Genomic DNA, 24,334 nt, shown 5'->3' on the forward strand with positions numbered 1-24,334 from the left:
TGTCAAAATAAAGATAAAAGAAAAAAATGTTATATAACTCAACTTTCACTACATCAGAATAACCTTCTCCATAATTAGGGTAAATCAATGAGGTTTCATTTTATACCTTCTTTGATTTTCTCCAGGGATCGTTATGTCCTTCCATCTTAAAGGCAGTGTGGTAAAAATGGCTGCGACTGGTGTGAGGAAAGGAAACTAAAGTAGCTAAGGTTAGGTAGCAGGACTAATGCTATTATAAAAACTGAGTTCTGTTCTCACTACTTACTATGCCACAGAAAAAAATCAATAAAGGGTTGATCTTGAAAGCATCGAGTAAAAACATACATCTAAATAAAAACCTAAGTCTTCGGCCAGGCACGATGACTCACACCTGTAATCCCAGCACTTTGGGAGGCTGAGGCGGGCAGATCACGAGGTCAGGAGTTCAAGACCAGCCTGGCCAACATGGTAAAACCCCGTCTCTATTAAAAATACAAAAAATTAGCCAGTAGTGGTGGTGTGTGCCTGTGGTCTCAGCTACTTGGGAGGCTGAGGCAGGAGAATCGTTTGAACCCGGGAGGTGGAGGTTGCAGCAAGCCGAGACTGTGCTATTGCACTCCAGCCTGGACAACAAGAGCAAAACTCCGTCTCAAAAAAATAAAATAAAAAAGTAACCAACTTCTCACAATATTGTAAATATACTAAACACTACTGACTATTACACTTAAAAATGGTCAAGACAGTAAATTTTATGTTATGTGATTTTTACCACAGTTATTTTAAAAAGCAGTAAAAAACTGATCTAGTTACTAAGGAAATGGTTAAACCAGAACTACAAATGTAAAGTGGTATAGCTACTTTAGAATACAGTTTGGCGGTTTCTTAAAATGCTAAATATAGATTTATCATATAAGCCAGCAATTTCACTCCTAGGTATCTACTCAAAAACATTTGTCCACATGTATGTTAGAAGTTGCAGGTAGGTTTGGGAAGCCAAGGTGAGTAGGTCACTTGAGGTTAAGAGTTTGAGACCAGCATGGCCAACATGGTGAAACCACATTTATACCAAAGATACAAAAATTAACTTGGCATGGTGGTATGTGCCTGTAATCCCAGCAACTTGGGAGGCTGAGGCAGGAGAATTGCTTGATCCTGGGAGGTGGAGGTTGCAGTGAGCCAAGATATCACACCACTGCACTCCAGCCTGGGGGCGACAGAGTGAGACCCACCTGACACACTGACACACACACACACACACACACACACACAAACAAAAAAAAAAAAACAAAAAACACGTTGCAGGTAGAAATGAGGAATGACTGCAGGTGAGTATGAGATTTCTTTTAGGGGCGATGGAAATGTTTCCAAAGGAGCTATGATGGTTGCACTACTCAAATTTACTAAAAATCAAACGAATAAGAAAAAAAAATCTATTTGACAAGAAATACAGGAACCACATACTCACTCCTTTTAGCTGTAATCATGTATACCAGTCTCCAGCCTCTCCCAATCCTTACCTTATCTAACCGCTCTGGACTTGGCATTGGCAATCTCTGCCGCTTGGCCTCCTGCTCTAGGGTTAGAAGCATGTTTCTTTCTTTCAGTAAGACATACCTATACAAAAGAACACAAACCTTGTGATGCTATTCTGTGGTTATGTTAATAAAGTTGTGATTTCTGACATCAAAATTAATTATCTGTACTTGAAAGTCACTTAGAGGCGAGGTGCTGTGGCTCACACCTGTAATCCCAGCACTTTGGGAGGCTGAGGTAGGAGGATCGCTTGACCTTGGGAGTTCAATACCAGCCTGGGCAACACAGCTAGAAAAAATAAACATCACTACAAAAAATAAAAAATATAATTAGCCGGGCATGGCAGCACACACCTGTAGCCCCGGCTGTTTGGGAGACTAAGGCAGGAGGATTGCTTGAGCCTAGGAATTTGAGGCTATAGTGGGCTAAGATCACACTACTATACTCCAGCCTGGGGATAAAGTGAGATCTTGCTTCAAAAAAAAAAAAAAGACATATTAGAAATCTCAATATATAGAATATGATTACAAAGAATAATCCATTATACATAAACTATCTTTGCTTATCCATGTGTTCAATAAACCTTCCATTTGCCACATGTATTAAGTGCTAAGAGAGCTACAAAGAGGCATAAAACATAGTCCTTACATTCTGAGTGGAGAGTAGAGAAGGCAGATGGAAGATAAATAACATTTACTGAGTACCTATTATATGCCAGACAATGTGTTAAACATTTTATATACACTTATTTCATCTAGTTTTCACAACCACCTTCTGAGGTTGGTATTATTTCCACTTACTTAACGAAGAAGCTAAGGCTGAGAGAAGTAAGGTATTCTGGGTCATACAGGTAATTCAAGATTCAAATCCCTGATCTCTGTGTATAAAATCCATTCTATTTTAACTCCACCACGCTGCTTCTGAAACTGTAATGTGATGTGGGATAATAAGTGGGACAGGCAATAAGTACCAGAAGAATTAAGTGGGGGAGATGAGAAACATCTCTTCTAGCTAAGATGACCAGGGAAAGAGTCATAGAGATGGAATTTATGATAGAAGGGAGAGCAGAGCAAACATAATCAAAGGTACTGAAGCAGCAGAGCTAAAGTGAAGGCAGATTTTCTGAATACATCTATTTGGGAATACGAGTTGGGGCCAAGTGCAGTGGCTCACACCTGTAATCCCAGCACTTTCAGAGGCCGAGGCAGGTGGATCACTTGAGGTCAGGAGTTCGAGACCAGCCTGGCCAACATGGTGAAACCCCGTCTCTACTAAAATACAAAAATTAGCTGGGCATGGTGGTGCGTGCCTGTAATCCCAGCTACTCAGGAGGCTGAGGCAGGAGAACCTGGAATGGAAGGCGGAGGTTGCAGTGGGCTGAGATCGTGCCATTGCACTCCGGCCTGGGCGACAAAGCGAGACTTTGTCTCAAAAAAAAAAAAACAAAAAAGAGAAATGGCATAACTTTAGTTGGTTGCAGCCATGATGAATGTTGAAATAGCCTTAACTATCCTTTCACTGATAACCCACAGTAACTAATAGTGCTTTAATACAACTTATTTTTCTATAATGAATAAACATAGTATCAGTGGTTTTCATAAACACTTCACAATTCTTTAATTTGTCATGAAAGATAAACAATGCTTTACATCAACAAACATAAATGTTGGCTGGGCACGGTGGCTCATGCCTATAATCCCAGCACTTTGCGAGGCCAAGGCAGGCGGATCACTTGAGGTCAGGAATTCAAGACTAGCCTGGCCAATGTGGTGAAACCCCATCTCTACTAAAAATACAAAAATTTAGCTGGGCATGGCAGCATGAGCCTATAATCCCAGCTACTTGAGAGGCTGAGGCATGAGAATTGCTTGAACCTGGGAGGTGGAGGTTGCAGTGAGCCAAGATCACGCCACTGAATTGCAGCCTGGGTGACAGAGTGAGACTGTGTCTCAAAAAGATAAAATAAAAAAAAGCAAATGTCTACTAGAGTCCCTAGGCAGATAACAATTATGAAGGAAGTAGACATAGTGAAAGAACCACAGGGTGGCCGAGAAGTGGTGTGTCCCTGCTCCATCTAGAAGGGGCAGTTGCTCCACACACCAGCCAAGTTGTTGCCATGTAGGAATGCAGGGCCGGTGTTGCCAAATCACAGGTCTCATTATTCAAGAGCCGACAAAAATAATATTTTCTGTGTGAAACTTCCCAATTTAAAAAACAATTACAGTCCAAACAAAACATATCTTTGGGCTACATATAGTACATTAAAAATGCAACCCTGTCTTAAATCCTCTCAACCCTAATTCATCAGAGCCTGCCAGAAAAATCTACCTAAATTCTCAATTAAATGCATCCTCCAACACACCTTTCCAAAGCAAATACACTAAAGATTACAGATCATGAAAATGTAATAAAAAGGAGAGAATTTTAAATATAACCAATGGCTGGGCACAGTGGCTCATGCCTGTAATCCCAGGATGTTGGGAGGCTGAGGTAGGAGGATCACTTGAGCCCCAGTGAGAGCAGCCTGGGTAACATAGGGAGACTCCCTCTCCATAAAACGCAAAAAAATTAGCTGGGTGTGGTGGTGCATACCTGTGGTCCCAGATACTCAGGAGGCTGAGGTGGGGGATCACTTGAGCCCAGGAGGTCAAGGCTGCAGTAAGCCGTTACTGTACCACTGCACTCCAGCCTGGGCAACAGAGCGAGACCTTGTCTCAAAGAAAAAAACAAAAGCCACCAACTATTCTCTGTTTCATTTTATTAATTAACTGAAATTGCTAGTATAAACATGTTAGTAGGACCAATGTAAATTACAGTAAAATTTCTGAATTCCCAACTACTTGAGAATTGTGACATTTGTCATAATCTAACCTCTGTCATATAAAATCTTTCATGATCTTAAACATCAGATTTATCATCCATAGTACTACAAAAGAAATCGCTTTACTCAATTTCTTATATCAGATAGATTGTTTTCACCTCATTGTTACACTATAACGGCTTCAAACGTCTAGATGTTAATGTACTTAGTATACTTACCAAAGTTTGTGTAAATCTTCATTACTTTTGTTCCTTAGTTGCTGACAGGTCCATGCTGCTCCTATTAAAATAATACATAACATGAAATAACATTTCTAGCCATGTGCCCTTTGGCAAATTATTTAAGCTCTCTAAACCTGTCTAAACCTGTTTCTTTATCTGTAAAATATATAACAGCTTTTTTATAGTATATAACAATGTGTAATTAGAGATAAATTAGGTAACATACGAAAATACTATTAACATGACTGGCAATAGCATTCAAAAAATGTTAGCATTAGTACAGAACGTATTTTCACACCCTAATGACAAAATACTTTGTCATTATAAATTAACTGGGGCGGTGGTTCACACCTGTATTCCCAACGCTTTGGGAGGCCAAGACGGCGGGCATCACCTGAGTTTGGGAGTTCAAGACCAGCCTAACCAAGATGGCGAAATCCTGTCTCTACTTAAAATACAAAATTAGCCGGGCGTGGTGGCACGTGCCTGTAATCCCAGCTACTCAGGAGGCTGAGGCAGGAGAATCACTGGAATCCGAGAGGCAGAGGCTGCGGTGAGCTGAGATTGTGCCACTGCACCCCAGTCTGGGCAACAAGAGCAAAACTCCATCTCTAAATAAATAAACAAACTTTAAATTATCATTAAAAAATAAAATCTAAAATAAGCCCTAAACCTTACTTTAGTTAATAATTTCAGCCTATTCCTTATCTAACCATCTTGCCAATCTGCCAAGGAACAATTAACTCTACTATTATATTGTCCCTTTAATTTTCTCTAGTAGACAGTCTCAAAGAAAACTGAAAAAGGAAACATCTAAATAATTCCTAAACTGGATATATAATCCTAGAACGATGGTTGGGCGGGGCGGGGGGGGGGGTTCCATAAATATATCTAATGTTGACAAATCCAAGTATCTCACCAGATTTTACTTTTTCTTGCCCCCAGTTTTTTGGGTCATCAAAAAATTCTTCTAGTCCTTTCCTTGACAATGTGGTATGAAGTAATCTATATTGGTGAAAGGATGTCACATTTGGTGTACTCTTAGGCAACAAACTAAGAAAAAACCTGCAATTGAACACACATAAACAAGTAAAAGTTTTATAATATCTGGATTTTATAAGCAATAAACATTATCATAATAAACATAATCATTTTGTCATCGATAACATTTTAAAAAGCTACTCAGGGTTTCTGCACAAGAATTAATTTTTTTTTCTTATTTAGAGACTGGGTCTCACTATGTTGTCCAGGCTGGTCTCGAACTCCTGGGCTCAAGTGATCCTCCCACCTTGGCCTCCCAAAGTGCTGGAATTACAGGGATGAGCCACCATGCTTGGCCACAATAAATTTTGAAAATGCTTTAGAAAGTATTGTTAATACTGCATTATAGAAGCTGCTACCTTATAATTTCAGAGGTAACATAGTTACACAATTATATTTTAAGGTAACATTTTTGGGTCCTTCTTACATTGCTAATGGGTGCAAGCGCAGGTAAAAAGAGCAGTCAATTTTGCAACATGTGGGCTGGGCACGGTGGCTCACACCTGTTATCCCAGAAATTTGGAAGGCCGAGGTGGGAGGATCACTTTGAGCCCAGGAGCTCAAGACCAGCCTGGGCAAGATGGCAAAACCTCATCTTTAACAAAAATACAAAAATTAGCCAGGCATAGTAGCACGTGCCTTATAGTCCCAACTACTCGGGAGGCTGAGGTGGGAGGACGCTTTGAGCCTGGGAGGCAGAGGTTTCAGTGAGCTGAGATCACACCATTGCACTCCAGCCTGGGCGACAGAGTCAGTCCCTGTCTCAAAAAACAAAAACAAAAAAACCTCACAATTTTGCAACATGTATCAGGAGCCTCAAATACTTCCTCCTTTAATTCAGTAATTCTGCATCTAGAAGTTTCAACTGAAAAAATTATTATAGATGGGAATTTATAAATTAAGATGTTTATTAAAGCACTATATAGGATGTCAAGTTTTTAATTATGTAAATACGCAGCTAAGAATGGTTTAAAAATTACTGTGCATCTGGATGATAAATTATTATGCAGTAATTCAAAAATCCTGTTTTTAAAAAATAGTTAACGACCTGAGATGATTTGAAACTAAATAATGAAGTTTATCACAAGTGTTGTATCCCTACCAAAAATATTTAGCCTAAATCTTATAATGAGGAAACAATCAGACAAATCCAAATGAATAAGATTCTTAAAAAGCTAATCTCATCAAAATGTCAACAACATTAAGAAAAAAAAAAAAAAGAAATTGTTCCGGATAGAGACTAAAGAGTCATGGCAACCAATGTAATAAATGGATACTTCACTGGATCCAGGACCAAGAAAAATAAATAAATAAAAGAAGTTACTAAGTTACCAGTTACTTTCATTGTAACACATCCTGTAAATACAAATATCTCTTCTTTTTTAATCCATCCAAACTTGACACAGACTTGAGTATCACAACAAAAACATCTTCGGTAAAGTTTTTCGCACCTCACCCAGCCCAAGAGGATGCTTCTGTACTTATAGATGTATTTACTTCAACAAATGCTGGACATCTACAAACCCCATATACTGTCTTGTCCACAGCAGGCAGCAACAAAATGAGGAAGGAATAGAAATGTCGGAGGTGAGCGACTTCTCCAAGGTCACTCACTCCTCACCAAAGTGGGCTCCGGCTCTGCCATCCAGGCGGCCGTTCCATTCTTGAGTTGTTCTCGGCATCTCGGCATCTCGGCAACCAAACAAGATCCAAAGTTGGAGAGGTGGGCAAACCTACTTTATACATCACTTACCCTGTGCAGGCAGGGACCTGAGGAGTTATTAACGATCGGGAAGATTTCAGGGCGGATGAAACTCTCCTACAAAGAAGGGCCAAACCGGCCGCAGCCATGTTTTCGCATAACTGGCAAAACGCGTTTCCGCCAACGATAGCGTCACTTCCGGCGTCTCAAGCCGGCGGTGAGGAGAATAGAAAACTTGCCCTCACTTAAGATGGCCACATCCTGCCTTTGTCCTCATTGGTAAATTGGCTCTCTCAGCTTCCGTGACCCGCCTCCCTTCTTCCTCCTGCCCGTAGTAGCCATGGCGGCCATGAGTTTGTTGCGGCGGGTTTCGGTTACTGCGGTGGCAGCTCTGTCTGGCCGGCCCCTTGGCACTCGCCTCGGATTTGGGGGCTTCCTCACTCGTGGCTTTCCGAAGGCTGCTGGTGGGTGCTGGCCTAGGGAGAACGGGCGTGAAGCGGGTGCGGGGCGAGAAAAGGGAGGACGCTTCCAGGGTGACCTTGGTGGGATCCGGAGGGAGCCGGGACAAGTTGTGGGCTTGGGGCTTGACAGGAGAGACGGAGCACGAGCTATATGAGGGGTTTTCCTGAAGTAGCCAGATAGATCGTGTTTACATTATTAGCATTTCTAAAACGTTGTTATTCACCATCCCAATTAATGCTAATTTGCGGATGAAGCTGAGTCTAGAAAGGTATAGAGCTGAGATCTGTATCTCTAGGGCACAAGCTTATTGTTGCGTTCCACCTGCCCAAAGGCTAGGTTCTAGTCCCACAGATGCAAAGTCATCTTGCCGAGAAGCCCACCTATGCTAAGGAATATGAAGACAGGTAATATGTAGACAGGTAAAGAGGCTCAGGGCCAACTTATTCTTTAGGCACAGTAAGTACCGTGCCGCCCAATAATGAGATGCAGATGAACTGGGGAGGAAGAGAGGTTTTTGTTTTGTTTTGTTTTGTTTGTTTGTTTTTTGAGACAGAGTCTCACTCTGTTGCCCAGGCTGGAGTGCAGTGGCGCGATCTTGGCTCACTGCAACCTCCGCCTCCTGGGTTCAAGCGATTCTCCTGCCTGAACCCATGATAGTTTTAGGGGTCTACGAAAGTCTTTTAATTTAAATTTCTTTTTTAAAAAAACCATAATGTTTATGAATATGATAACGAATCCAGCCTGTATTATGTTCGTTTTATACCAATGCAGTCATAAAATATTATTTTTAATAACTTAGACGAAGGGGCCCTTGAAGGCAAAAGTGCCTAGGTCTCAGGAAAGTCATAATACAGTCTTTTTTTTTTTTTCTTTTGAGACAGTCTCACTCTGTCACCCAGGCTGGAGTGCAGTGGCACCATCTTGGCTCACTGCAATCTCCACCCCCCGGGTTCAAGCGATTCTCCCGCCTCAGCCTCCCCAGTAGCTGAGGCTACAGGTGCACACCACCACGCCTGGCTAATTTTTGTATATTTAGTAGAGATGGGGTTTCACCATGTTGGCCAGGCTGGTCTCGAACTCCTCACCTCAAATGATCCGCCCACCTCAGCCTCCCAAAGTGCTGGGATTATAGGCGTAAGCCACTGCACCTGACCAATACAGTCTTAATAGGGCTATTTGGACCTCCTTGGAGACAGTGAGTTGCATCATGGCGGTGTGAATAATCATAGCAAAGATCAAATGCTTGATATTCAGTGTACTTTATTATCTCAGAGACTCTGCAAAGAAATTACAATGTTATTTTCATTTTACAGATGAGGAAACTGACTCAATTATTAAATAATGTGTCACTAAATAATAGCCAACATTTACTGAGCACCTGTTACGTGTCAAGCATCCTTTTTTATTTTTATTTTTTTCAAGACGGAGTCTTGCTCTGTTGCCCAGGCTGGAGTGCAATGGCGTGATCTTGGGTCACTGCAACCTCTGCCTCCTGCGTTCAGGCGATTCTCCTGCCTCAGCCTCTTGAGTAGCTGGGATTACAGTTGCACGCCTCCATGCCCGGCTAATTTTATGTGTTTTTAGTAGAGATGGGGTTTCATCATGTTGGCTAGGCTGGTCTCGAACTCCTGACCTCGTGATCCACCTGCCTTGGCCTCCCAGAGTGCTGAGATCACAGGCGTGAGCCACCCCACCTGACCTCAAGCATCATTTTAAGGGTTTAAAGTATTAATTTATTTAATCCTCTTCATTAGATATATACTGTAAGCTATTTGCCCTGTGCAATAGAAGCAGGTAAAGAGGAAGTGAAACACTTAAAGTCAGAAAGTTGTCTCCAGCCTCAAAATATCTTGTTCTCTTTTTACCCCTATTCTCCCAGTTTAATTTGAATTATGCCACTCCACAGGATGAGGCAATATACATAGGGATTTGCTGGAAACATGATGCAAAGAACCAGTGGTATTTAACAAATTTCCAGCAGGAATTTGAACTTGTTACAAAACTACATTCCTTGATGAAAATCCCTTTATAAGCCATTTCTGATTACAGATATTCTCATATAGCCAAATACAAATCCTTCAAATACTCGCTCTGGTAGTATTCAATCAAATCCAGCTGGAGATAAACTGCAGCAAAATTTCACCCCCAGTTTCTCTTTCCACATTATTGCCCTTTCTTGGGGTTCTCAAAGGATCATTACCGTGTTCTGCGCCCTTTCCAATCAGAGCAGGGAAGGTTCTAATAGCTATGTTTACTAAAGGTTACTGTGTTTTCAGCTGTGTACCTGCTTTCAAAGGTATTTTGCATCTGTCACTGTGATATGAAAGCTTTTAATCTCTTACATGGTTGTTTATATCTGTCCCTACAAGAATGTAAGCTCTAATGTAGTAGAGAGCCTGTCTTGTTTTGTTTTTTCTGGAGATAGACTGCCTATCTTCAAATTCTGGCTCTAGAATTCAGAAGCCATGTCTGTGATCATCACATCTTGGAAGCTAAAGTGGAAGACACCTAATTGCTCATAACCTGCATTTCCTCCTCTTTAAAAAAGATGAGAATTTTAACCTGCCTCAAAAGGTAGTTGTGAAGAGTGAGTGGAAAAAATCAACAGTGCCTGGCAGCAGTAGCCTTTAAAAAAATTGTGGTAAAGTACACATAACATTTACTATTTTAACCATTTTTAAGTGCACCGTTCAGTGGTATTAAATACATTCCTAATGCTATGCAACCATCACCATCATCCAACTCCAGAACTTTTTTCATATGGTAAAACTAAAACTCTGTATCCGTTAAACAATAACTCTCCATTCCCCTTCCACGTAGCCCCTGGTAACCACCATTCTGCTGTCTTTATGATTTTGACTACTCTATTTCTCATGTAAGTAGAATCATATAATATTTGTCTGTCACTTAGCATAATATCCCCAAGGCATATTTATGTCGTAGCATATGTCAGAATTTCCTTCCTTTTTAAAGCTGAATTGTCCGTTGTCCATTGTATGTATTTACCCCATTTTGCTTATCCATCATCTGTCAATTGGGTTGCATCTAGGTTTTGTTTGTTTGTTTGTTTGTTTTGTTTTTGAGACAGAGTCTTGCTCTGTCTTCCAGGCTAGAGTGCAGTGGCACCATCTTGACTCACTGCAACCCCTGGCTTCCCGTGTTCTCATATCAAACTGAAGGTCAGGCTGCTATTTCTTGCCATCCAATAATGAGATGCAGATGAACTGGGGAGGAAGAGAGTTTTTTTTTTGTTTTGTTTTGTTTTTTTTTGAAACAGAGTCTCACTCTGTTGCCCAGGCTGGAGTGCAGTGGCGCGATCTTGGCTCACACAGCCATCTCTGCCTCCTGGGTTCAGGCGATTCTCCTGCCTCAGCCTCCTGAGTAGCTGGGATTACAGGTGCACACCTCCATGCCCGGCTAATTTTTTGTATTTTTAGTAGAGATGGGTTTTCACCATGTTGGCCAGGCTGGTCTTGAACTCCCGGCCTCAGGTGATCCGCCCGCCTTGGCCTCCCAAAGTGCTGGGATTATAGACATGAGCCACCGCGCCCTGCCAGAAGAGAGTTTTTATTCCTGTAACTGGTTACAGGGAGAAGTCCTGGAAATTATCGCCAGACCAACTTAAAATTACAGTTTTCCAGAGCTTGTAGACCTTTTAAGCTATATGTCTACATGTAAGTGTGCACTTATCTAAAGACAAAAGTGACTAACTTTTTAAAATCTATAATTAAGGTCTGAGTCCTGAGGACCTTCCTCTGGAGCCTTAGTAAATTTACTTAATTTAAATGGATCCAGGTGCTGGGGTGATTACCCTTATCTTATCTCCTGCTAAATCACGGAGGTTTGGGAAGTTCCTTCAGACCTCCAGTCAACTTGTTTGTGGAGGCCTGGGGAGTTTCTTCAGACCCACAAAAACTTGTTTAATCCTAAATGGGTTCTGTTAAGAATTCTTTCGAACTCCTGTCCTCAAGTGATCCACCTGTCTTGGCCTCTTAAAGTGTTGGGATTACAGCTGTGAGCCACTACACCGAAGCACTTGCAGATTTTAATTACTGTAAAGCTTCACTTAACATCATTGGCTCTTGAAACTGCGACCGTCAGAACCTATAATAAAGAAGGAAGTGATGTTGTTTAAGGACCTGCTGTATGTGGTTTCACTTAAAGTCACAGTTTCCAAGAACTCATCAGTGACATTGAGTATGACTTGTGTTGTGAATAATGTTTCTGTGAACATGGATATACAAATACCTCTTCTGAGACCCTGCTTTCAATTCTTATGGGTATATCTGCAGAAGTGTAATTGCTGGGTCATGTGTGTCATGGGTGTTACTGGCTGGGACTGGCATTGTGGGTGGTGAAAGAATTTACCAAGACAGTCATAGATACAGAGGACAGATTTATTAGAGAAAATACGAAGATAGAGTTGCAAGAGAACAATGGGCAGCACAGCAGAGAAGGGGCTATCTGCAGAGTCAGGGACTGGAGGGAAGTTTTATAGGGTCATACTGAAGGGGCTATGAGCAGAGAAGATGTGCAGATAAGGTCACTCTACTGGGGCTATGTGTTGAACGAGGTATTTGGGAACAGGATGTTGTGCCTGTGGGTTGCCTGTGATTAGCCGTGTCTCAGCAGAATTGCTTTCCTCCACCTGGGGCCCCTTCCTTGTTGCTTATGTATCTTACTAGGATTCCACAATATGGTAATTCTGTTTTTAATTTTTTGAGGAACCCTCATGCTATTTTCCATAGCAACAATACCATTTTACATTCCTTTGTTTACCAACAGTGTACAAAGATTCCACTTCCTCCATATTGTCACTGACACTTGTTATTTTCTGGTTTTTTGATTGTAGCTATTCTGATGGGTATGTGATGATATCATTGTAGTTTTGATTTGCATTTCTCTAATTAGTTTTGTTGAGCATCTTTTTGTGTGCTTCTTGACCATTTGTGTATATATCTTCTTTAGAGAAATGTCTGTTCAAATCCTTTGCTTATTATTTATTATATTATTATTTTTTAACTTGAGTATGAGGTCTCCCTAATGTTGCCCATGCTGAACTTGAACGCCTGGACTCAAGCAATCCTGCTTCAGCCTCTCAAGTAGCTGGGACTACAGGTACATGCCACTCTGCCAGGCTATTTGCCTATTTTATTTATTTGTTTATTTATTTTTGACAGGATCTTGCTCTGTCACCCAGGCTGAAGTGCAGTGGCGCAATCATAGCTCACTGTAGCCTCAACCTCCTAGACTCAGGTGATCCTCTCGCCTCAGCCTCCTGAGTAGCTGGGATGACGGGTGCACACCACCACACCCGGCTAATTTTTTAAGTTTTTTGTAGAGATGAGATCTTGCTATGTTGACCAGGCTAGTTTCAAACTCCTGGGCTCAAGAAATTCCCCACCTCAGCCTCCCAAAGTGCTGGGATTACAGGAATGAGCCACCATGCCCAGCCTATTTTTAAATTGGATTGTTTGGTTTGTTGTTGTTGTTGTTGAGTTTTCTGTGTGTTCTGAAATCAATCCCTTATCAGATATATGATTTACATATATTTTCTCCCATTCTGTGGGTTGCCTTTTTACTCTGCTGATAGCGTCCTTTCAGACACAAAATTTTAAAATTTTCATGAAGTCCAGTTTGTCTAGTTTTTCTTTTTTTGCCTGTGCCTTTGAAGTCCTGGCATTAGCCTTCTACAAATTCCTATAGCCTCATCCTTCCTAAAGATCTAGTGCTGTCATGTTCTTCATCACCCTCTGTAAACCTTTCTCAGAAAATTAGCAGATAAAGCTATTCTGTTTAATTAAATTATTTATTAAACATCAAAGATGGTGTAATTCCAGAAATGAGCTAAGTTCTCCCCTCAGCTGCAGGTAAATTTAATTTATAATTGAAGACTGATATGCATAAATTATGGTTTTTAAAAATGTGAAGAGTATTAATATGGATGTATAAACAGAGTGCTGTGGAGTTAATCCAGACATGGAATAGATGGGGCATTTTAACTGAAGTATAGGGATAGTTTTAATAGGTGGAACTGGCAGAAAAGTAAAGGTTGAGTTTTTTTTATTGGATATGTGACTCTTGGGGTAGGTAGGCGTTGGGAGAAAAGGCAAATAAAGGAAAGTTGGGACCAAATTGGGGGAGGGGAGGGACTGACTACAAAGCCAACGTATCTTCATTTGATTTTGTAGGCAACAGAGTGTTGTAGCAGAAGAGCAATATCAGGAGTGTGTTATAGGAAGATGCTTCTGAATATTGGATGGCTTATAGGGGATGTTGATTACCTAGGTCAGTAAAGTAAAGAAGGCATGGAATGAAATGGAGAATTTAACTCTTAGAATCAAGAGGCCTTGGCAAATGATGAATGAAGGATAGATGCAAGGAAGATGATTGAGATTTTTATCCAAGGTAATTGAGATGGTGGTGCCCTTTACTGGGAATGAGGGAAAGAAAATGACCAATTTTCAGTTGTTGTCTTTTTTTTTTTTTTCTTGAGACGGAGTCTCGCTCTGTCACCCAGGCTGGAGTGTAGTGGCGCGATCTTGGTTCACCACAGTCTCCGCCTCCTGGATTCAAGCGATTCTCTTGCCTCAGCCTCCCGAGTAGCTGGGATCACAGGCCTGGCTAATTTTTTGTATTTTTAGTAGAGACAGGGTTTCACCATGTTGGCCAGGCTGGTCTCGAACTCCTGACCTCAGGTGATCCGCCCGCCTCAGCCTCCCAAAGTGCTGGGATTACAGGTGTGAGCCACTGTGCCCGGCCCAGTTGTTGTCTTTGACACACAAAAAGTTCCCACATTCCCACATTATCTTATTCAATTCTTATAAAAATCGCAATCATCAAAGGCTTAATAACTTTTCTGAGGCTACGTGCATTTTTAAAAATTAGTCATTGAAGCCTTGGGCCTATGAAATTAATAAATACTTAATGGAGAAATTTCAGGCTTTAGAGAGCAGTGAAAGATGCTTATTTTTGGTGTCAGGAGGTTCAGGGTTCCAGAAATCCTGGTAGTCACCTCATTGTAAGCAATATTCACCCTAATAATTTAATTTTTTTTTGAGGGGGAAGGGTCTAGCTATGTTGCTCAGGCTGACCTCAAACTCCTGGGCTCAAGTGATCCTCCCGCCTCAGCCTCCCGAGTAGCTGGGAGTACAAGCATGCACCACCATTCCTGGTTACACACTAATATTTTTAGATTTAAGCAGATGGCCCTACTACATCAACAATCCTGAAGGCTCAAAACATTTAAAAAGAGTTAAAGGCAAGTTGGTTGTGGTGGTGCGTGATGTAATCCCAGTTACTCCGCAAGCTGAAGGTGGGAGGATCTCTCGATCCCAGGAGTTTGAGACCAGCTTGAGTAACATAGCAAAAAACCTTGTCTCTGGAAAAAAAAAAAAAAAGTTACATGCTATGAAATATACTTTGAAACAATATTAATAAGTTATCTAGGACCTTTAATGACATGACTAATTGTTTAATAATTGGGTAATATGTGTAAAGAAAGAGCAAGCAGTTCACATTACTAAGTGCATTAAACCTTTTTTTTTTTTTTTTTTTTGAGACAGAGTCTCACTCTCGCCCAGGTTGGAGTGCAGTGGCGCGATCTAGGCTCACTGCAAGCTCCGCCTCCTGGGTTTACTTACGCCATTCTCCTGCGGCCTCCCGAGTAGCTGGGACTACAGGCGCCTGCCACCACACCCGGCTATTTTTTTGTATTTTTAGTAGAGACGGGGTTTCACCGTGTTAGCCAGGTTGGTCTCAATCTCCTGATCTCGTGAGCCGCCCGCCTCGGCCTCCCAAAGTGCTGGGATTACAGGCGTGAGCCGCCGCGCTCAGCCAAAAACCGCAATTACTTTCAGTTGCAAAAACTGCAGTTACTTTTGCACCAAACTAATACTAAGCTGAAAATAGATTGTCCCTCTAAAAGAGTATGCTCTTGAATGGACACATTTCTGCAGGTGTAGTCAGGGGATAAGCGACAGGGAAGATCATCCTGTTTTGACCCTGTGCTTCTAGTGTATCAGATTAAGACTGAATTGGCCTTTGGCTTTTTTGTGAGCAACTAAATTTCTGGGAGTTCCAGGCGGAACTTCCACTTACCTTATTATGTTGAATCCTTTTAGATTTAGCCTTTTGTAATGTGTGTAAAGACTCTTTTGGGACCCCATGGCCACTCTTGTAGCAGTAGCTTTGTGTTTCTAAGACTCGACAAGTCAGGAATGCTGTATCCACCTCATCTAAGCCATTCATAAAAACCTTGATGCTGCAGGGCTTTTGAGAGATCTCTTTGCCAGGTTACTGCAGTAATTAATCAGTACCTTTTGCTTACAGTCAATCAAGTACCCATTACAAATTTCTCTAACTTCCTCTTTCTCTCAGCTTATAATGTCCCCTCTTCCCAACCCCCCCATCTTGTCTAAATAGGAACTTTTCTTCTGGGCCACTGTATCCTATTTCTTTCCCTTGTTACCCTTACAGATTTGTAATTACTTGTGTAGTGTGTATTTCTCCCAGCAAGATCTATATCCCTCTTAGACCGTATATAGTTCTAGCATAGGATCTGCACATAGTATGCAATTAAATATGTATTGAATTAATGAGTACTTTGTACTGTCATCCAACCCGTTTTCTTCATCTAGTCCACAAAAAAAATTATGTATGTTTCAGATGATTTGCTGAAGTCCATACTTACTTTGTCAAATTCTCTTAATCTTGTTATTTAAAAAGCCTTAGTAGTATGAATTATATGTAGTAAATTCATGCCAGTTTCTAATTCTCTTGTGAATCAACCTCCCAAACTCACTGCAAGCTGCTGCAGATGTTACCAAAATTAAGAAGATAGTTCCTGCTTTCAAGATATTTATACTTAAAAGTGGCAGCAGTAAACACAAATATACATGTCACAATAACGTACAGTAATTCAACAGTAGGAAAGATCTCGTGTGGTTGGGAAAAATGTTGGCATCTTGGAAGATAAGATGTTATCTGGGCCTAACATAGATTTCAGGAGAGGGGACAGCATTCCAGACATTAAACATGAACAAAAGATTCAGATCTTTCTGACATCTATTATGACTGAAATTCCTTTAATGGGAAATTAAAGTTTTTTATTCTACAGTGACTCACATGCAAAATATCCTTGAGAGTAGTTACACAGTGAAAAGATAGGAACCTTCAGTTTCTAAGTAACAGCTAGATCCTTTCCTGTTCCCAGTGGAAAGGGCTTGGAATGCCTCTAGTGATCCTTGCAGACCTTCAAGAGGAAGAATATAAAAAGAGGATCCAGAAGTGAAATTTTGCCTCAGTTTACTTCCAGCAAGGCTTGATTAAATTCTGTCAGGGGGAGACTTGAAGAGGATATTCTTAATCAGCAATGGTTTACCACGTGATTTTATCAAGATATTTTAGAGTGTGTAGTTTGATAACAAGTTCTAATTCCTGCTGGTGATTTGTTGAGTAAATACGGCTGGTCCTTTCCATCTATTTTGCAGCATAATAATACATATAATACAGATAATGTGTCATGTGAAATGGCATAATGGAATAATTTAAATTAAATGTATTTCTTTTGCAGCATTAGCAAATATTTGTTGCAGAGGAGACACAGATGAGCAGCTCATTAAGTACCTAACCTCCCTGCCTGCTATTGAAACAAATTAAAATGATTATTTAGATACTTTAACTTTGAATTAAAATGAGGAAAGTTATGCTTTAGAACAGTAGATCCATCTTTGTTTAAAGATACCCTATCTGACCTGGCCTTATTACTCAAATAAGACATTTTAAAATCTTAACTCATATTAAACATCTAAGAATGTATATTTTCTTTTTGTTTCATGTCAGATGGGTAATGTGCCTACCTCATAACAAGGTTTGAGGGAGGCACATCTCACACCTGAGTGTGAAAACCCAGTCATCCTGCTTATGAGCTACAAAAGGATCCTTGTATTTTTTTATAATCTGATTTTAACTCAGAATATAACAGTATACCCATATGAACCTTGTATAAAACAGGGTAATTCAATATTCCCAGCTCCTGTTCGACACAGTGGAGACCATGGGAAAAGACTATTTGTCATCAGACCTTCTAGATTCTATGACAGGCGTTTTTTGAAGTTATTGGTAAGTTTAAATTTTTTGTTGAATTAAAGTCTTTGCATGTAACAGGGAAAAAATTTTTGCCTCTTTAGAAAACATCTTTCATTTTATGAAATATTTTATTTTGTAAATTTATATTTCTTTCTGTAGAAGATACTGAGACTGTAAAGTCTGATTTGTTATTGAATTTCTCTTTAAATTAGTGAAGCTTTCCTTCTTCACAAAAGGATTTACACTAAATGGAGGTAAAACTTGAACCATTCCTTTCTTCTGAAGATTATGGCGTTTCGAAATAGAATCTGTGTTCCTATAACTAAAATATTCTTTAAATTACCAAAGAACTTGTTGAAAGACTTGCTTAAATAAAGGAGCTACATTATTTTGGGATATGATTTTATATTTATATGTTGTTCAGGAACATTTATTTCAGAGAGTAACAGGGATCTATAGTGCAATCTTAATTTAGCAATAATATAATTACATTGCTTATTTAGAATGCTGACTATATTTCTGTCTCAAGGCTCTATACGAACAAAGTAGAGGCTTAGAAAATGGGAGATTGTCTGGACCATCTGCCACGGTAGATAAAGCTCTGAATCATCATTTGAGTACTGACCTTAAAACTTTCTCTTGCCCTTCCGTTGTGTTTAATGACCTTTTTCATCTCCTTGGTTGAGCCCTTACTTTTCTTGTTATGACCAGCTCAAATCCTATTTAGTGGTAGAAATCACCCTGATGCTTTTAGACTTTTGTTCTTAACATATTATTTTCTTTCATGGCATTGCTTTACCAAAAAGTAAAATCACAGAAATCAATAATTTGGTACTGTATGCCCAATTTGGCAAGTTTATTTTATAAGAAATATGAGGAAATCATATCATGAGGATGATTTGTGTGTGGGGAGAGTTACGAAATGGTCATGAGAAACACTTTTTTTTTTATCTTAGAGATTCTACATTGCATTGACTGGGATTCCAGTAGCAATTTTCATAACTCTGGTGAATGTATTCATTGGTAAGTCACTTCCATCCCCTGCCAGCACCACCAGATTGGAAAAATTTTTAAACATATGTACATTAATATAAAAAAGAAATTATGGATATTGTAATGAAAAGCTCTTTAAATAATTAAGCATAAGCATGGCAGTTTATCTTAAAATAACCAAATCTCAATCTGAACTAAGAATTTTTTAATCCATCCTAGAACATATAAAACTATAATCCTCGGCCAGGCACAGTGGCTCACGCCTGTAATCCCAGCACTTTGGGAGGCCGAGGCGGGCAGATCATGAGGTCAGGGGTTCGAGACCAGCCTGGCTGACATAGTGAAACCCCGTCTCTACTAAAAATACAAAAAACTAGCTGGGCGTGGTGGCAGGCGCCTGTAATCCCAGCTACTCGGGAGGCTGAGGCAGGAGAATGGCTTGAACCCAGGAGGTGGAGGTTGCAGTGAGCTGAGATGGCGCCATCGCACTCCAGCCCGGGCAACAGAGTGAGACTCTGTCCCCCCCCCAAAAAAAAACTATAATCCTCTTACAAAGACTGAAAGTGTCAATGACAGTAAACATTAGATTTTCGTGGGAAATTTTGTTCAAAGTACTTCTAACACCTTGAATCCTAAAATGTTTTGTATCATAGGTATAGGGAAGACCAGAAGGAATAATATGTCTTTTATTATATCTTGTTACAGTATAGAAAAACAAAATGAGAAACTCATGGAATACCTATAAATAATGCCTTACACAGAGAGATGTCTAAAAATGTCTAACAAATGAATTGATTTTCAACCAGATTAAAGTGAATTAAAAATACTACATATCTTCATTGGTACAAATTTTTTAAAGAATCCTTTAAAACCACAAGAAGTTGGTTTCTTACTTTAATGGTGAATAATTAATTTTATAAACTCCTCATGCTAAAGTTAAACATAACCATTTTTTCTTATTAGGTCAAGCTGAACTAGCAGAAATTCCAGAAGGCTATGTCCCAGAACACTGGGAATATTATAAGGTTTGTATAGGACATTGACAATTACATACTGTTACATGCCTTGTCAACGCACTAGTTAATGTCTTAATTCAGCAATTATGATATAGTCAGGTTTTTTGTTTTGTTTTTTTTGAGACAGCATCTCGCTCTGTTGCCCAGGCTGGAGTGCAGTGGCGCGATTTCAGCTCACTGCAACTTCTGCCTCCCGCATTCAAGCGATTCTCATGCCTCAGTCTCCCACGTCGCTGGGATCACAGGTGTGTGCTGCCACTCCTGGCTAATTTTTGTATTTTTAGTAGAGACAGGATTTCACCATGTTGGCCAGGCTTTTCTGGAACTCCTGGCCTCAAGTGATCCACCCACCTCAGCCTCCCAAAGTCCTGGGATTAAATGTGTGAGCCACTGTGACCAGCCATGATAGAGTTTTATATTTCATTTTTTATATCAAGCAGATACATTTTTTTGCATACTTTTTATAAACAACGAATTTTGGTACTTCATTTTTAAAAAAATCATTTTAAGCTTTACAATTTTTTAAAGAATGATTGCAGTGTGTTCTCAGCCTAACAGAGTAACATAATTTATCCTAAGTTCAATGCCTTAGGAGAGACTTCACCAATGTTAATGCTAGCTGTCATTTATTGAGCACCTACTATGTAACAGGTACTGTGCTGAGTGTTTTACAAATATTTATTATTTCATCCCATGTAAAATGTACTATTATTATTCCCTCTTTGTAGATGAAGAAAGTGAGGCTAAAAGAGTTAAGTGACCTGTCTAGATGGGGTCACTATTTCAACCCGGGCAACTTTGACTCCAGAGCCTGAACTGTTGGTCATTATACCATACTGCCACTGCTACCAAAATCCAAAATTAATTTTGTTACTTGTTTTAACAAGTGTTATTGTGAGCCTTGAATGGAGTATATCCCATCATGTTTTATTATCTGAATGAATTATATTTTAAATACAAATCTTAAACCATTAAATCTTAAGGCAGACCTTACACTTAGTTTGTTTATGCTAACTGGTGCAAAGAGCTCCATTTTTGAATTACCAAAACCTGGGTTTGTCTTCTGAATCTGCCACCTAAGATACTCAGCATAGTGTAATGGAAAAGAGTACACAGCTTTGGAGTCAGACAGACCTGGTTTGAGTCCAGGTGCTGCCATTTATTAGCTACGTAACTTTGTGCAATTCACTTATCTTTAAAATGCGGACAAAAATAGTATCCACCTCATCTGTTAAAATTATTTTATATATAGGTATATTAGTTACATAGTAGATGTTACTGGTTTATCTAACTGAAATGATCATTTTAAAGAATAGTCAACTAGAAAAGCAAAGTATTATTCAGAAATGGACTAATATTAAACGAATTTTCTCTTGTAGCATCCCATATCAAGATGGATTGCCCGTAATTTCTATGATAGTCCTGAAAAGATATATGAAAGAACAATGGCCGTCCTTCAGATTGAAGCTGAAAAGGCTGAATTACGGTAGGAAAAACGAGGGGGTAGGTGGGAAAGAAAATCTTCCTAAGGTAGCAAACCACCAGAAAAAATTAATAAAACTATGAATATTTCAGCACTATAGGATACTTTATGTAAAAGGATAAAGATACGTCCAGATGCAGTGGCTCACACCTGTAATCCCAGCACTTTGGGAGGCTACAGAAATTAGCCGGGCGTGGTGGTACGTGCCTGTAATCCCAGCTACTCAAGAGGCTGAGGCAGAAGAATCACTTCAACCTAGGAGGCAGAGGTTGCAGTGAGCCAAGACCATGCCACTGCACTGCAGCCTGGGTGGCAGTGTGAGACTCCGTCTCCAAAGGAAAAAAAAAATGGATAAAGATAGAATTAGCTTGTTTGGAGTGAAAACTATAAACTGGTGACAAGGAGACTATTAGGAGATATGTGTCAGATTAAAGAGTTCTTTTTTAAATTTTTGAATTTTTTTTTAGAGTGGAAGTCTTGCTCTGTTGCCCCAGCTGGGAAGCAGATGGATGGGTATATCCATCCAGTGAAATATATAATGTGGCCATTAAAAAGAAAGGGATATATGCTGTTATGGAAAGCTATGTGGATTTTCTTTCTTATACATTATATTTTATATACATATTAAAAAGCTAGACACATATATTTTTTCCCCTCTCTTATGGTGCTGAGTGCCTGTTTTTTTTTTTTTTTTTTTAATTATACTTTAAGTTTTAGGGTACATGTGCACAACATGCAGGTTAGTTATGTATACATGTGCCGTGTTGGTGTGCTGCACCCATTAACTCATTATTTAACATTAGGTATATCTCCTAATGCTATCCCTCCCCCCTCCACCCACCCCACAACAGGCCCCAGTGTGTGATGTTCCCCTTCCTGTGTCCATGTGTTCTCATTGTTCAATTCCCACCTATGACTGAGAACATGCAGTGTTTGGTTTTTTGTCCTTGCGATAGTTTGCTAAGAATGATGGTTTCCAGCTTCATCCATGTCCCTACAAAGGACATGAACTCATCATTTTTTATGGCTGCATAGTATTCCATGGTGTGTATGTGCCACATTTTCTTAATCCAGTCTATCACTGTTGGACATTTGGCTTGTCCAAGTCTTTGCTATTGTGAATAGTGCCACAGTAAACATATGTGTGCATGTGTCTTTATAGCAGCATGATTTATAATCCTTTGGGTATATACCCAGTAATGGGATTGCTGGGTCAAATGGTATTTCTAGTTCTAGATCCCTGAGGAATCGCCACACTGACTTCCACAATGATTGAACTAGTTTACAGTCCCACCAACAGTGTAAAAGTGTTCCTATTTCTCCACATCCTCTCCAGCACCTGTTGTTTCCTGACTTTTTAATGATCACCATTCTAACTGGTGTGAGATGGTATCTCATTGTGGTTTTGATTTGCATTTCTCTGATGGCCAGTGATATGAATATTTTTTCATGTGTCTTTTGGCTGCATAAATGTCTTCTTTTGAGAAGTGTCTGTTCATATCCTTTGCCCACTTTTTGATGGGGTTGTTTGTTTTTTTCTTGTAAATTTGTTTGAGTTCATTGTAGATTCTGGATATTAGCCCTTTGTCACATGAGTATATTGCAAAAATTTTTTCCCATTCTGTAGGTTGCCTGTTCACTCTGATGGTAGTTTCTTTTGCTGTGCAGAGCTCTTTAGTTTAATTAGATCCCATTTGTCAATTTTGGCTTTTGTTGCCATTGCCTTTGGTGTTTTAGACATGAAGTCCTTGCCCATGCCTATATCCTGAATGGTATTGCCTAGGTTTTCTTCTGGGGTTTTTATGGTTTTAGGTCTAACATTTAGGTCTTTAATCCATCTTGAATTAATTTTTGTATAAGGTGTAAGGAAGGGATCCAGTTTCAGCTTTCTACATATGGCTAGCCAGTTTCCCAGCACCATTTATTAAATAGGGAATCCTTTCCCCATTTCTTGTTTTCGTCAAGTTTGTCAAAGATCAGATAGTTGTAGATATGCGGCATTATTTCTGAGGGCTCTGTTCTGTTCCATTAGTCTATATCTCTGTTTTGGTACCAGTACCATGCTGTTTTGGTTACTGTAGCCTTGTAGTATAGTTTGAAGTCAGGTAGCGTGATGCCTCCAGCTTTGTTCTTTTGGCTTAGGATTGACTTGGAGTGCCTGTGTTTTTTTAACCAGTCCCCTATTGCTGGTACTTGGGTTCTTTCCAAGTTTTTTGCTATTGTACATACTGCTGTGTTTAATTTTCCCCCATATTGTTTGCATATTTATGTAACATATCTGGAAAATAAATTTCTGGAAGTGGCATTAATAAGCCAAATAGCACATGCTTTTAAACTTTGGGTAGATATTGCCAAACTCTTCTCCAAAAAGTTGCACCAGTTGTTTCTTCATCAGTTTCCATGTTTCAGTTTTCCATGTTTCTCTGTAATGGAATTTATCAAAGTGAAACATTTTTGTTGATAGGGTAATTGAAAAATGTTACCTCATCATTTCAATTTTATATTTCTTTGTAAAGTTGAGTAGTTTTTTTAATATCTATTAATTGTGTGTATTTCTTTTCTTTCTTCCCCCCGCCCGAGACAAAGTCTTGCTCTGTTGCCCAGGCTGGAGTACAGTGGCATGATCTTGACTCACTGCAGCCTTGGTCTCCTGGGTTCAAGCTGTCCTCCCACCCAAGCCTCCCTAGTAGCCAAGATTACAGGTGCATGACACCATGCCCAGTTAATTTTTGTATTTTTTGTAAAGACATAGTTTCACCGTGTTGCCTAGGCTGCTCTCAAACACCTGGGTTCAAGCGATCCACCCTCTGGGCCTCCCAAAATGCTGAGATTACAGGCGTGAGCCACTGCACCTGGCTATGTGTATTTCTTTCTCTATATATTGTCTTTTGGCAGTGTAGAAATTTTTGCAACACAGAAGTGTTTTTACATTTTCAGGTAACAAATCTGTAATAGTAACTAATAATATTTTCTTTTTCTTTTTTTTTTTTTTTT

The 24,334-nt window shown here is 39.8% G+C and overlaps 2 protein-coding genes and 1 non-coding gene across 6 annotated transcripts in view, besides 6 other annotated features; 1 reads left to right on the plus strand and 2 right to left on the minus strand.

The window, feature by feature from the left end:
- MRPL47 (mitochondrial ribosomal protein L47) overlaps positions 1-7,468 on the minus strand; it is a 16,362-nt gene extending 8,894 nt beyond the window's left edge. Inside the window, exons 1-4 of one of the 2 annotated variants that reach the window (NM_020409.3) lie at positions 7,349-7,460; positions 5,474-5,619; positions 4,552-4,612; positions 1,497-1,593 (exon numbers count right to left, since the gene is read on the minus strand). In NM_020409.3, coding sequence (NP_065142.2) covers positions 1,497-1,593; positions 4,552-4,612; positions 5,474-5,619; positions 7,349-7,446 — 402 coding nt within the window. In that variant the 5' untranslated portion in view covers positions 7,447-7,460. Of the gene's footprint in view, positions 1-1,496; positions 1,594-4,551; positions 4,613-5,473; positions 5,620-7,348 lie in introns of both variants that reach the window. The other variant, NM_177988.1, reaches the window with a different exon arrangement.
- Positions 6,750-7,616: an enhancer, noted in NCBI's record as "H3K27ac hESC enhancer chr3:179321716-179322582 (GRCh37/hg19 assembly coordinates)". NCBI's record gives its function as "activates a minimal SCP1, AML or CMV promoter by ChIP-STARR-seq in naive and primed H9 embryonic stem cells {active_cell/tissue: H9 hESC(naive and primed)}" and the evidence as "EXISTENCE:reporter gene assay evidence [ECO:0000049][PMID:30033119]".
- Positions 7,542-7,741: an enhancer, noted in NCBI's record as "active region_20868". NCBI's record gives its function as "activates an Ori minimal core promoter by ATAC-STARR-seq in GM12878 lymphoblastoid cells {active_cell/tissue: GM12878}" and the evidence as "EXISTENCE:reporter gene assay evidence [ECO:0000049][PMID:35858748]".
- Positions 7,542-8,483: a biological region, named in NCBI's record as "H3K27ac hESC enhancer GRCh37_chr3:179322583-179323449".
- The window catches only part of NDUFB5 (NADH:ubiquinone oxidoreductase subunit B5), a 22,854-nt gene continuing 6,135 nt past the window's right edge, over positions 7,616-24,334 (plus strand). The window contains exons 1-5 of one of the 3 annotated variants that reach the window (NM_002492.4): positions 7,616-7,761; positions 17,793-17,881; positions 18,805-18,871; positions 19,805-19,866; positions 21,237-21,343. In NM_002492.4, coding sequence (NP_002483.1) covers positions 7,638-7,761; positions 17,793-17,881; positions 18,805-18,871; positions 19,805-19,866; positions 21,237-21,343 — 449 coding nt within the window. In that variant the 5' untranslated portion in view covers positions 7,616-7,637. The remainder of the gene's footprint in view (positions 7,762-17,792; positions 17,882-18,804; positions 18,872-19,804; positions 19,867-21,236; positions 21,344-24,334) is intronic. The other 2 variants (NM_001199958.2, NM_001199957.2) reach the window with 2 other exon arrangements.
- Positions 7,617-8,483: an enhancer, noted in NCBI's record as "H3K27ac hESC enhancer chr3:179322583-179323449 (GRCh37/hg19 assembly coordinates)". NCBI's record gives its function as "activates a minimal SCP1, AML or CMV promoter by ChIP-STARR-seq in primed H9 embryonic stem cells {active_cell/tissue: H9 hESC(primed)}" and the evidence as "EXISTENCE:reporter gene assay evidence [ECO:0000049][PMID:30033119]".
- Positions 7,922-8,081: an enhancer, noted in NCBI's record as "active region_20869". NCBI's record gives its function as "activates an Ori minimal core promoter by ATAC-STARR-seq in GM12878 lymphoblastoid cells {active_cell/tissue: GM12878}" and the evidence as "EXISTENCE:reporter gene assay evidence [ECO:0000049][PMID:35858748]".
- Positions 8,112-8,201: an enhancer, noted in NCBI's record as "active region_20870". NCBI's record gives its function as "activates an Ori minimal core promoter by ATAC-STARR-seq in GM12878 lymphoblastoid cells {active_cell/tissue: GM12878}" and the evidence as "EXISTENCE:reporter gene assay evidence [ECO:0000049][PMID:35858748]".
- Positions 17,597-17,700, minus strand: LOC124906348 (small nucleolar RNA U13). Its single transcript, XR_007096315.1, has one exon. It is a non-coding gene; the product is annotated as a small nucleolar RNA U13 (small nucleolar RNA).

The sequence above is a fragment of the Homo sapiens genome, chromosome 3, assembly GCF_000001405.40.
Source record: "Homo sapiens chromosome 3, GRCh38.p14 Primary Assembly".
Taxonomy (NCBI): Eukaryota; Metazoa; Chordata; class Mammalia; order Primates; family Hominidae; genus Homo; species Homo sapiens.